A 12,285-nucleotide genomic window follows, 5' to 3' on the forward strand; every position below is an offset into this window, starting at 1 on the left:
TGACAGATGGTCAAGTTCATTCTGGGGGACTACATGCATTTTGTGGATTTTTAAAATTTAGATTGTGAATTAGGGTTTGTAAATCAAATCCTACACTGAAAGCACCAGCTATGGAAAAGCAGTTGAACCCTGAGTATTTTTGTAAAGAAAGCTTTTAAAGCATGGATGTCCATTTGGAAAATGATGTTCCTTAAGAACTTGGAGTGTTTTAAAATCACATTTTCTTAAAGGACTCCACACACAGTTGGAAACTTTAAACCTACTTAAACTGGAAGCTACAAATCTGGTTAGAAGAGAGCATGGCAGCTCCCTGCAAGCAGATACTTGTCTCTTTCCATTTGCCACACAAGTAGATGCATAACCTTATCACTGGCCTTCCTCTTATTTTCTGGACAAGGGCTTTCTGCTCTATTGATTTCCTTTTAGATGTATGCTCAGGTCAGGCAAACTATGAACTAGTATGAACTGGATTGTTCTAACTCAGCTCCTGGCAAGATAAAAGAACAGAGGTCACTCCCAGGCAAACACACTCAGAGTTGAAGGAGGCTGGGATTCCACTTTGGTCCAGACAGCTGCTCTGCACTGAGTCCTATCAGAATTGCAAATGGCTCTGTTGGCTCGGCTAAGTGTGTTTAATGATGGGGTGAGATCCTGGAGTTCAAACAGTGCACGGATAAAATTTGTATTTTCGTGTGATTATATTATTTGCAACAGGCCCCGCATGATGGGATTCAGTAATTGTCAGTGCTGTCAAAAAGGCATTTCTTTTTCCTTTGACCATGACTACTGCATCTATGTAATTTGTCGTACTAGCTATCAAGCACAGTATCAGAGAAGCAGAAAAACCAACCAAAGCATATTCACACTCTTCATACCCACATCTCTATCACCCGTTATTAAATCAATTACTAAGGTTCAGTGCAGAGTAGGTGTCTCTGGGTGGAACAGCTCTTTTATCATTGGAAACTGTTGTCTGGGGTTTCTTTAACTCTTTCCTGGTTAAACCCTTTAGCTCCTGTAAGCGTGAATAAGAGTATTCATCAACGAGATAAAGACAAATAGAACAAAATAGGCAAAAGACTGATGTCTGGCATAGAGGAAATGTTTTGTGATTTGTTTTAAAGTAAATAGAATAAATATGCGAACCTTGGGTAACTGACTCACTGGGAAGATCCACACATAGTGTCAGAAAAAAGGTTCAGAAAATGTTAACCAATATTATTACAAGCCAGAAACAGGGGTGAAGGCAGAATAAAGGTCCCATAGGATTGTAACTTCTCAATGTTTAAGAAACCCAGAATAGTAGCAAAATACGATACACATAAATAATAGAAGATAGAGTAGACTCAATCAGAAAAGAGGAACAAAATTCTGTGACGATGGACACCGTCTAAAGAATCTTGTCGTGATTTTCTTGCCTTGACATAATGAGGATTGCTGGGGACCATCTTGGGGACTTTCTACCACATCATGTTAACAAATGGTCAATTTGCTTTCTTATCACCTTCTTTCAGTGGCTGGGTCCTAAGACTTGTTATACAATGACATGTTAATTCTGTCCTCTTAAATATGTCCATGTTTTCCACCATGGCCTGTTGTTTAAATTCCAAAGCTCTGTTTATGATCCAGCACCTGCCTATCTCTCTGACTTCATCTCTTATCATTTCCCCACTGGATCAAAATGCTCCCAGCAGAGTGGACCACCTGAAGTTCCTGAAAAGTGGTACAACTGATCACACTTTCCTGGAATGCCCTTCTTCACCTTATAATACTTGTGGAAATCTCCTTATCCTTTAAGGATCAATTCAAAAATCAGCCCCATGTGAACAGAATCTATCTCTTTAGATTATGAGCTTCTTAAGGGAGCAAGTGTATGTTTTGCTTTGAGTCCCAGGTGTCTGGCACAATGCCTGTCACTATTTATTGACTCACTATGTGTACCCTCATGTCTCATAGCGGATAAATGGATCAACAAAATGTGGTGTATCCATATAATAGAATATTATTCAGCTTACAAAGGAAGTTCTGACACAGGCTGCAACATGGCTGAACGCTGAAGACTTTATGCTAAGTGAAATAGGCCAGTCACAAAATGACACATACTATATGATTCCACTTTATGAGGTACCTATAGTAGTCAGAAAGTAGAACGGTGTTTACCAGGGGGTGGAGAATGGTGGGATGGGGACTCATCATTTATGGGGTATAGCGTATCAGATGAGGAAAATGAAAAGAGTTATGGAGATGGGTGGTGGTGATGGTTGCACAACAGTGTGGATGTACTTAATGCTGCTGAAGCATATACTTAAAAATGGTTGGGCCAGGCGCGGTGGCTCATCCCTGTAATCCCAGCACTTTGGGAGGCCGAGGCAGGTGGATCACCTGAGGTCAGGAGTTTGAGACCAGGCTGGCCAACATGGTGAAACCCCATCTCTACTAAAAATACAAAAATTATCCGGGTGTGGTGGCACACGCCTGTAATCCCAGCTACTCAGGAGGCTGAGGCAGGAGAATTGCTTGAACCCAGGATGCAGAGGTTGCAGTGAGCCAAGTTCGTGCCATTGCACTCCAGCCTGGGTGACAAGGGTGAAACTCCAAAACTCCATCTCAAAAAAAAAAATGGTTAAGATGGTAAATCTTATGCATATTTAACACAAAAGGTCAGCTCCTACCCTTGTTAAACCTCTCCTGGTCACCCTTACCCTCACTGGGTAAGGTGACTTCTGCAGCCTCTTCTCGATTGGGGGGCATGCCTGTGGAACAGAAGTTCTCACACACCTCACTTGTAATGGTGGACTTGTCTTTTTTTCTGTAGACTGTGAGCTTCTTGAGGGAGTATTTCTATGTTTTGCTTTGAGTCCCAGGTGTTTAACACGATAACTGTCTCTATTTGTTGACTAATTGACTGAAAAAAGTGAAACTTGATTTTGTGACTTTTTTATGTTCTATATACTACACAAGGACTTACTGTTTTATGTTTTAAGCGCATCTGATTATTTTGGATTGTAAGGTTCTCAAAGTACATCGGCCACAACTGTGAGTATTTTCATAACTCAGAAATTATTACAGTATTCTAGTGAGTCCACTGAGTGTGCTCAATACTGATGAGATAGCTGTCTTTTGTAGGTAGGGAGATATGGGAAAGTTACAGTTAGTTTCAGCTGGTAGCAGGAGAAAAACAGCTTGTTTGGACATAGCCAGCATTTAACAAGGATCTTTAGTTTTCACTGCAACTATTTGGGAAACTTAGTCAATGGATACTTAAAATAGGAAGTAATTGATTCTCCACTAATTTATTCCAACAGTCAATTATTAATCAACAAATATTTACTGAACGCCTACAGTGCACCACCGTTGGGCATGAAATGGTGAATCCAGTCCGATGGAGTCTTTTCCCCCATGGTTAAACATTAAGAACGACGCCGTGTCTCTCTCCAAGATGCCAAGGATACATTTATTTTTATTCTAATTACTTTTAACAAAGTTAAAAAATGAGATTTAGAATTTCTCTAACACTGAGGCTCAGAAAGATCATCTTGTTTAAGATCACGTCATCCATGATCTTGATGTCTGTTTACGATCACATGATCCGTGAACTTGACGTCATCAGGGCAGCCGTGAGCGCCGCTCTTCTGGGTGACACTGGCCCATCTTCAGCAGCTCATTAACAAGAAGCAGCCCCACGGAGTGCCTGCCAAACAATCTTAAGATGACTTTATAGTTTAAAAATGCATTTCAATCATTTTTATTGGCCATTTTGTATAACACCCTGACTGGTCTTTGGCAATATTATCATGGATTTTTTTGTTTGTTTGTTTTTCCTTTTGGTTTTTGAGATGGATTCTTGCTCTGTCACCCAGGCTGGAGTGCAGGGACGTGATCTCAGCTCACTGCAACCTCCACCTTTCGCGTTCCGGTGATTCTCCTGCCTCAGCCTCCCGAGTAGGTGGGACTATAGGCACTCACCACAACGCCCGGCTAATTTTTTTGTATTTTTAGTAGAGGCGGGGTTTCGCCATGTTGGCCAGGCTGGTCTCAAACTCCTGACCTCAGGTGATCCACCCGCCTTGGCCTCCCAAATTATCATCATTTTAAGGCGATGCAGAAACAAGTGTTTGTGCAAAACTGGGACGAGGTGGGAGAGAAACAAGAGAATGTTTTTCAGTGATCCTAGGCCCTCTAGAGCACCCCTGATAGAGCTGAGGTCAGAAATCATAGTGAGCAGGCAGCTTCTTCAGCGCTTCTGTTTCCCAGGCTTGGCCTCATGATGGACAGGATCTCCCTCTCCAGGATGCGCTTGATTGCAGCTCAATAACACCAGAGACTCTAGCTTGGAGTCCTTGCTGTTTTAAAGGTATCCTAGTTTTCATCATCAGTAGAAAGGAGTACTATATTTTGGCACGGTGAGGATTTTGTACACAAACAGTTAAATCACTTATCTAGTCACTATTTCGTTAATATTAGATGTTTTGGTCTATTCTTGCATTGCTATAAAGAAATGCCTGAGACTGAGTAATTTACAAAGAAAAGAGGTTTAATTGGCTCATGGTTCTGCTGGCAAGTGGCTGCATAGTGTCTTCTATTTCTGGGGTGGCCTCAGGGAGCTTTTACTCATGGCACAAGGCAAAGTGGGAAGAGGCATGTCACATGGCGGGAGCAGGATGGAGCGAGAGAGAGAGGAAGCAGGTGCCACACACTTTTAAACAACCAGATCTAGTGAGAACACACTCACTGGACAGAACCAAGGGGGGATGGTTCTAAACCATTCACGAGAACTTCACCCCCACAATCCAGTCACCTCCCACCAGGCCCTACTTCCAACACTGGGGATTACAATTTGACATGAGATTTGTTGAGGACACAAAGCCAAATGATATCCTTAGAATACACAACATGGTGTTTTCACATGGGAACTGGTGGCATTTGGGCAACTTTCTGTAAGTGTTGCTACTTACTGCTCCTCTCAGTCTGCACTCCTGACTCCATCTTGCTGTAGGTACCTAACCTTAACAATACGGAAAGGAGCCTCCTACCTGGAACTGCATAAAGGAAACAAAAAATAGATGTGTCCAAGCTATGACATGAATTACTGGCACACAACAAATAACCAAATTAAATGACACCCTGTTACAGCTCTTATGGCTGGAATCACAAGAAAAGGTCATCAATTCGCTCAAGTCAAAAAAGGGAATGTATTGGTGTTGATAACTACAAAGTCCAGTAGCAGTCTTAGCATTAAGCAAGGCTGGATTCCAGAGCTTAAATTATCCTCTGGTTCTTGCAAAGATTGACATCAACTACTTTGGGTTACTTGGTCCTTGCCTTTAGCCAAAGGAGAGAAATAGCTTCCTGAGTAGCTCTGGTTGGTCCAGCTCGGACCTTGCCTTTCCTTCCCTGAGCCAGTCTCTGGAACCAAAGGAATAATGCACTCTGACTGGACAGTCTGCATCTGATAGAGACAAAACAAGGCCACCTAGGGAAGAGGCAGTTCCAGACTGGGGAAGATTCTGGGAAAAAAAAAAGATATCTACAATACTATGTGTATAAACTCACCCACAAAAATCCTAGTAGCACTAACACTGTCTTAATTTCTCCATTAGGAATCAGAAAAACCTTTAATGAAGAGTGACGGAGAGAATGGCCTGTGATTGGATTGTGAGCCTGTTTCTGCCACCAGGCAGCCCCTCTGCAGGCATCTCCCTCCCACCTGACCCGTGGTCTGTGCGAGTGCAAGTTAAAAGGGTCATTTCCTTGCCTCAGAGCTGATCTCAGCCTTAGATACTTTCCAGTTTCTCTGCTACCTGTCATTCAGTCTTTTGAAGTACAGCATTAATTTTAACTGTGATTTCATTGCAAAAACAAATTTGCCAATGGAATGCTATTCGTGTCATTTATTTCCCCAGATCTTCCTATGAGCTCATCTCTCTCATTCAATTGTCTCTACTCCAATGTCACTTCCTTGGCTGAAGGAAAAATCAGTCCTCATTCCACACACTGCAACCTTGCCTTAGTTGATTTACAGCACATATCGTATCATAACCTGACCACAACTACCTCTTGCTTAACTGTTTATTTTTTCGCTCTCCTCCCAGAATATATCCTAAGACAAAGAATTGCATATTGGCATCGTAGTTTCCAATCTAAGCACATGCGCAAGGGAACTCAGGTTAGTTGAGCTAACATTTTCTTCCGCTATAAACTAGTGTTCCTTAAAGAGCAATTTTTTAGAATACTGGTTTCCTTGATCAAAATATGTTTGGGAAATGGAATATATGCTTCATGAGGACAGGCTATCTTTTCATGGTGATATATCTAGTATATAAAAGTGTATCTTAGTACACAGTAGGTACTCTCTAAATGTTTGTTGAATGAATGAATCTAGGCAACTTAACCTTAGTTGTTTTTTTTTTTTTTTTTGACACAGTCTTGCTCTGTCCCCTAGGCTGGACTGAGTAGCATGATCTCGGCTCACTGCACTCTGCTTCCTCAGGTTCTAGCGATTCTCCTGCCTTGGCCTCCTGAGTAGCTGGGATTACAGGTGCATGCCACCATGCCTGGCTAATTTTTTAGTATGTTTAGCAGAGACGGGGTTTCACCATGTTGGCCAGGCTGGTCTAGAACTCCTGACCTCAAGTGATCCACCCGCCTCGGCCTCCCAAAGTGCTGGGATTACAGGCGTGAGCCACTATGTCTGGCTCCTTCACTTTTTTGAAATGTAAAGTCTTGAGATATCAACGAAGAGACTTGCTTAACTTTGTTTAACTCAATCTTCACTCTGCAGTTTTCATGGGAGACACTTAGGCGGCTTTTCTGTAAGATACCGTCTTGTCTTACTCCATGAAAAGAGGCTAACTTTTATCATGTAAAACGTTACAGTGGAGAAGGTGATTGCAGTAGTACGGTAGTGATAGAGGGTTTTGCTGGGCAGAGCACAGAGTCCTGTTTTAAAGATATTAGACAGCATAGAACGGTGTGGGGAGGGGCACTGGGGAATTCTTCCTGGACAGCAAACGGCTCTTATAAAACAACAATTTGATGAGCTCAGTGCAAATGAATCAGAAACATATGGATTCAATTTCCCTTGAAACACATATGGCTTTAACAATTAAACACTACAGCGATTAGCAGGGAAAAGAATACACAACAGGGATTTGATGGTGGCCATTGGAAAACATGTCTGAGGTCTTTCCTGAGCCCAACCTGGGTCATTCCCATAGGACACATGGAATTCTAGCTGCAGGACACGAAACATCCTTTTCCAAATGCAATCTGTTGGGAGCATTAGTAGTAACTTAGCAGTAATTTTCACAGCCGCTCTGTGGAGGAGAAATGGCTTTTATGTTAAGGAGAATGGGTGGAGTAGAATTACATTTTTGGGGGGTTACAGTTTCTGCCTTTGTTATACTGATATCATGCATAGACACACACACACACACACACACACACACACACACACGCAGAGTGTTTGTGTATGTTATGGTAATTATCTTCAAGGAACTCAAATCCCTCCAAAGACATTATCTCATTTGTTTTTATTATGTGTGCCCAAGAGATATATGTGATTATTTCAGCTCCACATTTAGGGAAGGAACCTAAAGAACAGAGAGGTTAAGGGAGTGACCCCAATCACACAGCTGGCCCGTGGACTGGCCAGGCAAGAGCAACGTCTCCAGCCTGCAGTCGGCCAGTTCCCACTTCCTCATCTGCCCTGGCTCTAGATTAATAAAGTCATGCACAGCATTGCTGTATATTAACTTGAAATTGTGTTTCCTAAGGGGAATTCTGGTTTTTCCAATGATACTGTAGCACTCAGCAACTGGTGAGGAAGATGCAATTAATTTTTCCCTCATGAATATGATCATTATATAAACTAGCTCAGCAGCCTCCGGGGCCAGATACAAGACACTGAATTATATATCACAAAGCTGTTCCTTCTATCAAACAGCTCAGGGCCAAAAGGAAAACCCAGAAGGCCACATGATCACGTGTCATCATCCTTACTTAATGGACACAACAGTTTTCTAATCCGCTCAAATGTGGGGGAAAACCTTGCCCCCTCCTTCTACTTCATTTTAAAAGATGGTAAATGTATTTTTTTTTTAGATCAAAGGGAGTAGCCTATGCGATCTAATATTTTGGATCTTTCTATATCTAATTCAACTACCTCAAATATCTTTGGCCCACAAAATGGTCCCCCAGGGTTTATTTAGTATAATAATATTTTAAAGCTGGAGCAAACTTTATAGGTGATTCATACCAATAGTTTTCAGTCTGGCCAAGCATTAAACCTTTGTGGCACAGCAGGAGCGGGTGGTGGCGATTAAAGAAATCCCACACCAACAAGAGCTGCCCTGCCTGCCCTGAGGAGGAGCTCAGGCACCTGGCACCTGCTCGCAATTCCAAGGGGCAGCTTATCCAGTAAGCCCCAGCTGCACCCACTCCAACCCTGCCACCCAGAGATGAAGCAGCCTCACCAAACACACAGGTCATTGCCTTTTCTGTTCCATGGATTTGTTCATTCCAGAAATGCTGTATTCGTATGGGTACCCATCTTAAAATTTTACCTGGGGCAAGGCATGGTTGCTCATGCCTGTAATCCCAGCATTTTGGGAGGCTGAGGTGGGAGGATCGCTTGAGTCCAGGAGTCCAAGACCAGCCTGGGCAACATAGGGAGACTCCGTCTCTACAAGAAATAAAAAATTAGCCACGTGTGGGCATGAGTGCCTATGGTCCCAGCTACTTGGGAGGCTGAGGCGGGAGGATTACTTGAGCCCAGGAGATGGAGGCTGCAATTTGCCATGATGACATCACTGCACTCCAGCAACAGAGCAAGATTCTGTCTCTAAAATATCTCTCTGTCTGTCTCTCTCTCTCTCTCTCTCTCTCTCACACACACACACCCCTGGGATTTGTTTTAATCAGGTATGATAAGACCTGCACAGACACAGAAATGACTGTTAAGACAGGAAGCATTTAAACTCTCACATCACCCCTGGAAACAGGGGGAGGGCACACCACGCAGGGCCATGTGGGGAAGCAGCAGGGCCAGCCAGCAGCCGGGGGGAAGGAGGGAAGAGCCGGGTGGAAGCCTTTACTGGGTGTCACAGGAGGCAAGGTGAGGGAGCTGCGCACACACCTGGGGCTGGGTAGTTCAAGCCATTTCTGCAGGCTCCGGGGTGCTGGGGTGGTCCCCCCTTGTCAGATACCTGGTCCTAGGGTGATGGAGGGCAGGAGAATAGTATCACAGACTGCAGGAACCGGATAAAAGGATGAGGGTGGGGCATGGACAGGATTGGTTGGTTTGCATGTCATGGGCGCACTCATCTGCAAGCCTAGTATCCCTAGAAATTAGCTAACCTCAGGGGGCCATTCCTTCCCAGATTCACAAGGCCCCGAGATGTCAAAGCATCATAAAATACAAAAGATGTTAATAAATAACATGATTAGTACAGTACCTCATTAACCATCAGAGTGCTAAATGAGGATCACAGAAATAAAATAATTAAAAAAGCTTTTAACTGCATGTTTTCAGTTTATACATGGTTTTCAGATATAATTTCTCTTTTAGTCTTCCTAGAAAATCTCCATAATAATATCATCATCCCTGGATACGGAAACGAAGGCTGAAAGAGAGAAGAGGACGTGGTTTCCTGATAGCAGAGTTCAGGGTGGAAACTCCAGATCCAGCTTTCTGCCTGTGACGATTCTGGTGGATGTGAGCCTTGGGTGCTGCCTCTGACACCTGCTGTGCACGGCAGCCAGAGACCGCGTCCAGAATGCAGGCAGTTTGTCTCCCACAACGTGACAGGTGGTGCCGGCCTAAGCTATGATCCGCTAACAAAATAGGGCTATGAGCCCTCTGCCTTTCAGAGCAGGCGGGGAACATTCCTGCAATGCTATGGGTTGGGTGTGTGAGTTTTTTCTTGAAGAACGTAATTAGAAAGGGGGGTTCTATGTGTCATGTATAAAATACCGATGGGCCAGCCACAGAGAACGCTGTAGGCTTTGACAGACAAGACAGGGTGTCTTTACCAGCAAATGGACACCATGCCACATCATCCTTAATGAAATACGTGCACTTTAGTGAGACAAAAATGCATCCGTAGCTCTGCCTGCCTCCTCACGATCCTTCTCCAGCTATAAGGACATCAAATAAACCATTTAGACAGAGGGCCCTTTAATGAGTTTCTCAGCGGCAGTGAATCAAGTCAGAAAGGTAATTCAACCCTCACTCCCAAGGTACAAGGGAAGGCAAGAAAAACTGTTTCTTTAGATTCCATTCTGTCCACAGAACCATTCATCAATTTCCTTCGAGAGTCTGAATCAATCCCAGCAGGACCGCTTGCCAAAAAGAACGCTCTGTGGAGACACAAGCCCCAGCTTGTGTTTGCTCTCTGGGTCTCTTCCCTCCTCTTTCTTCCTCCGGGTGGCAGGAGGGCACCGTGGCAACACAGGAGGCATGACCTACAACAGGCCCCCGAGCTCCTGGGGCCCCTGCATGCCCTGTCGTAGGTTTCTGAGTACTCATTCTCATGGGCTGCTTGCCCATTAGCTGATGTCACTTAAATAACTGCTTTGCCAGAGCTGGCTTGTGTAGGACTCATCTGAGGTCCTTACCAACAGAAGGAATAAGGAATTCACATGGAAAGTTGGCCTCACCCTGCTCTTCCCTCATCAATGGAATAATCTGAAATGTGCAGATTACCAATGCTTCCAGAGGCACCGAACTCAATGGTTTGGCTTGGCTTTGTGCTTCAGTCCACACAGATGGCAGGAGCAACTTAGAGGTGGGAGAGATACTTAGAGAGCAGCGACTCAAATATTTTCATTTGATTGCTTTAAAAAAATGAGGCTTTGAGAGGTGAAGTATTAACCTCTTGCCCACCATTATACCACTGCAGAGAAAAATCAATTCACCTGAAGTCAGGGCTCTGTCCAAAAGAGGACCCACAGTTTCTGAGTCCCTCACTGGTTTGAGCATGTGTCTTTTACCACATGGAGATTTTTAGACATTGTGTGCTTTGTAGGGTTTACTCATTTTAATTAAAAAAAAAAACAAAAAACCCTTTCATGTTGTGCAGCTCATCGTCGAAATGCTAGGCAACACGCCGAATGTTTTATTACAAACCAGCATTCCCTGCAGAAAAGTCTTATTTTGATTAATCTTCAGCACTTACAGCTCCTTTCTGCCAATCAAAGTTTCCATCACGCACAGGGTGCTGTTGTAGAGACCAAGTTGACATGTTGAGGCAGCCCAGAACAACTTTAGAGAGGAGAGGGAGGACTTTTCCTGTCTCTTTTGATAAGGGAAATAGTATGTTTTAAAGACACCTTTGTGGAATCCTTCTTCCCTTAGAGTAGATTGAAAGACTCTCACTTTAAAATAGCCACCCCAGTGGAGTAAAAAAGATGCTGAGTTCTCGTTCTCATGAATATACTGCTGATTAGAAGAACAAGATGTTGACAAACCCAGCCCAGATAGGTCTATAAAGCTTGAAAGAATTTACTGAATAGGCTGGGCGTGGGGGCTCAAGCCTGTAATCCCAGCACTTTGGGAGGCTGAGGCAGGTGGATCACGAGGCCAGGAGTTTGAGACCAGCCTGGCCAACATGGCAAAACCCTGTCTCTACTAAAAACACAAAAATTAGCTGGACCTGGTGGTGTACGCCTGTAATCCCAGCTACTTGGGAGGCTGAGGCAGGAGAATTGCTTGAACCTGGGAGGCGGAGGTTGCAGTGAGCCAAGATCAAGCCATTGCACTCCAGCCTGGGCAACAGAGTGACTCTGTCTTGGAAAACTAAATAAATAAAATAAAATAAATGAAACACAATATTTATCCATTAGCATCTGTTTGTAGGTGTGTAGTAAAATATCGGTTAACATTAATTTCATATTGAAATTTCAGAAGCCTTTTGAGATTGCTATTAAATCATTTAAAGCAGCTCCTCTTTTCTTGGTAAAACCCTTTCATTTGAAGTGTCTGCTATTACATTATTGGACCTAGATTTCATTGCTATAAAAGATCTTTAATTTGGGTACATTTGTAAGCTGTACATATTATTGATTTATATCTCATACTCATTTTTCCAGTGATTATTACCAAAATATCATTCTGTGTAAAGCTATTTGCAGTTTTGACAAACCTTGGAAGAATTACGAGCAAACTGTTGAGATGCAATCCTTTGCATCTAGGATAGGCGCTCCACCGGTTACCAAGGTTCTTCTTCTAGCATTGAAATTAGTGTGTACACAGTGGTCTCCCCAGGTGGGCTTCTCTAAGGTTCT

At 43.4% G+C, this 12,285-nt stretch overlaps 1 long non-coding RNA gene across 4 annotated transcripts in view, besides 1 other annotated feature; it reads right to left on the reverse strand.

The window, feature by feature from the left end:
- Positions 1-12,285, reverse strand: part of LOC105376387 (uncharacterized) — a 294,200-nt gene that overhangs the window by 43,438 nt on the left and 238,477 nt on the right. The window lies entirely within an intron of this gene.
- Positions 9,295-9,795: an enhancer, noted in NCBI's record as "H3K4me1 hESC enhancer chr10:6918964-6919464 (GRCh37/hg19 assembly coordinates)". NCBI's record gives its function as "activates a minimal SCP1, AML or CMV promoter by ChIP-STARR-seq in naive H9 embryonic stem cells {active_cell/tissue: H9 hESC(naive)}" and the evidence as "EXISTENCE:reporter gene assay evidence [ECO:0000049][PMID:30033119]".

This window comes from Homo sapiens, chromosome 10, assembly GCF_000001405.40.
Source record: "Homo sapiens chromosome 10, GRCh38.p14 Primary Assembly".
In the NCBI taxonomy this organism is placed as follows: Eukaryota; Metazoa; Chordata; class Mammalia; order Primates; family Hominidae; genus Homo; species Homo sapiens.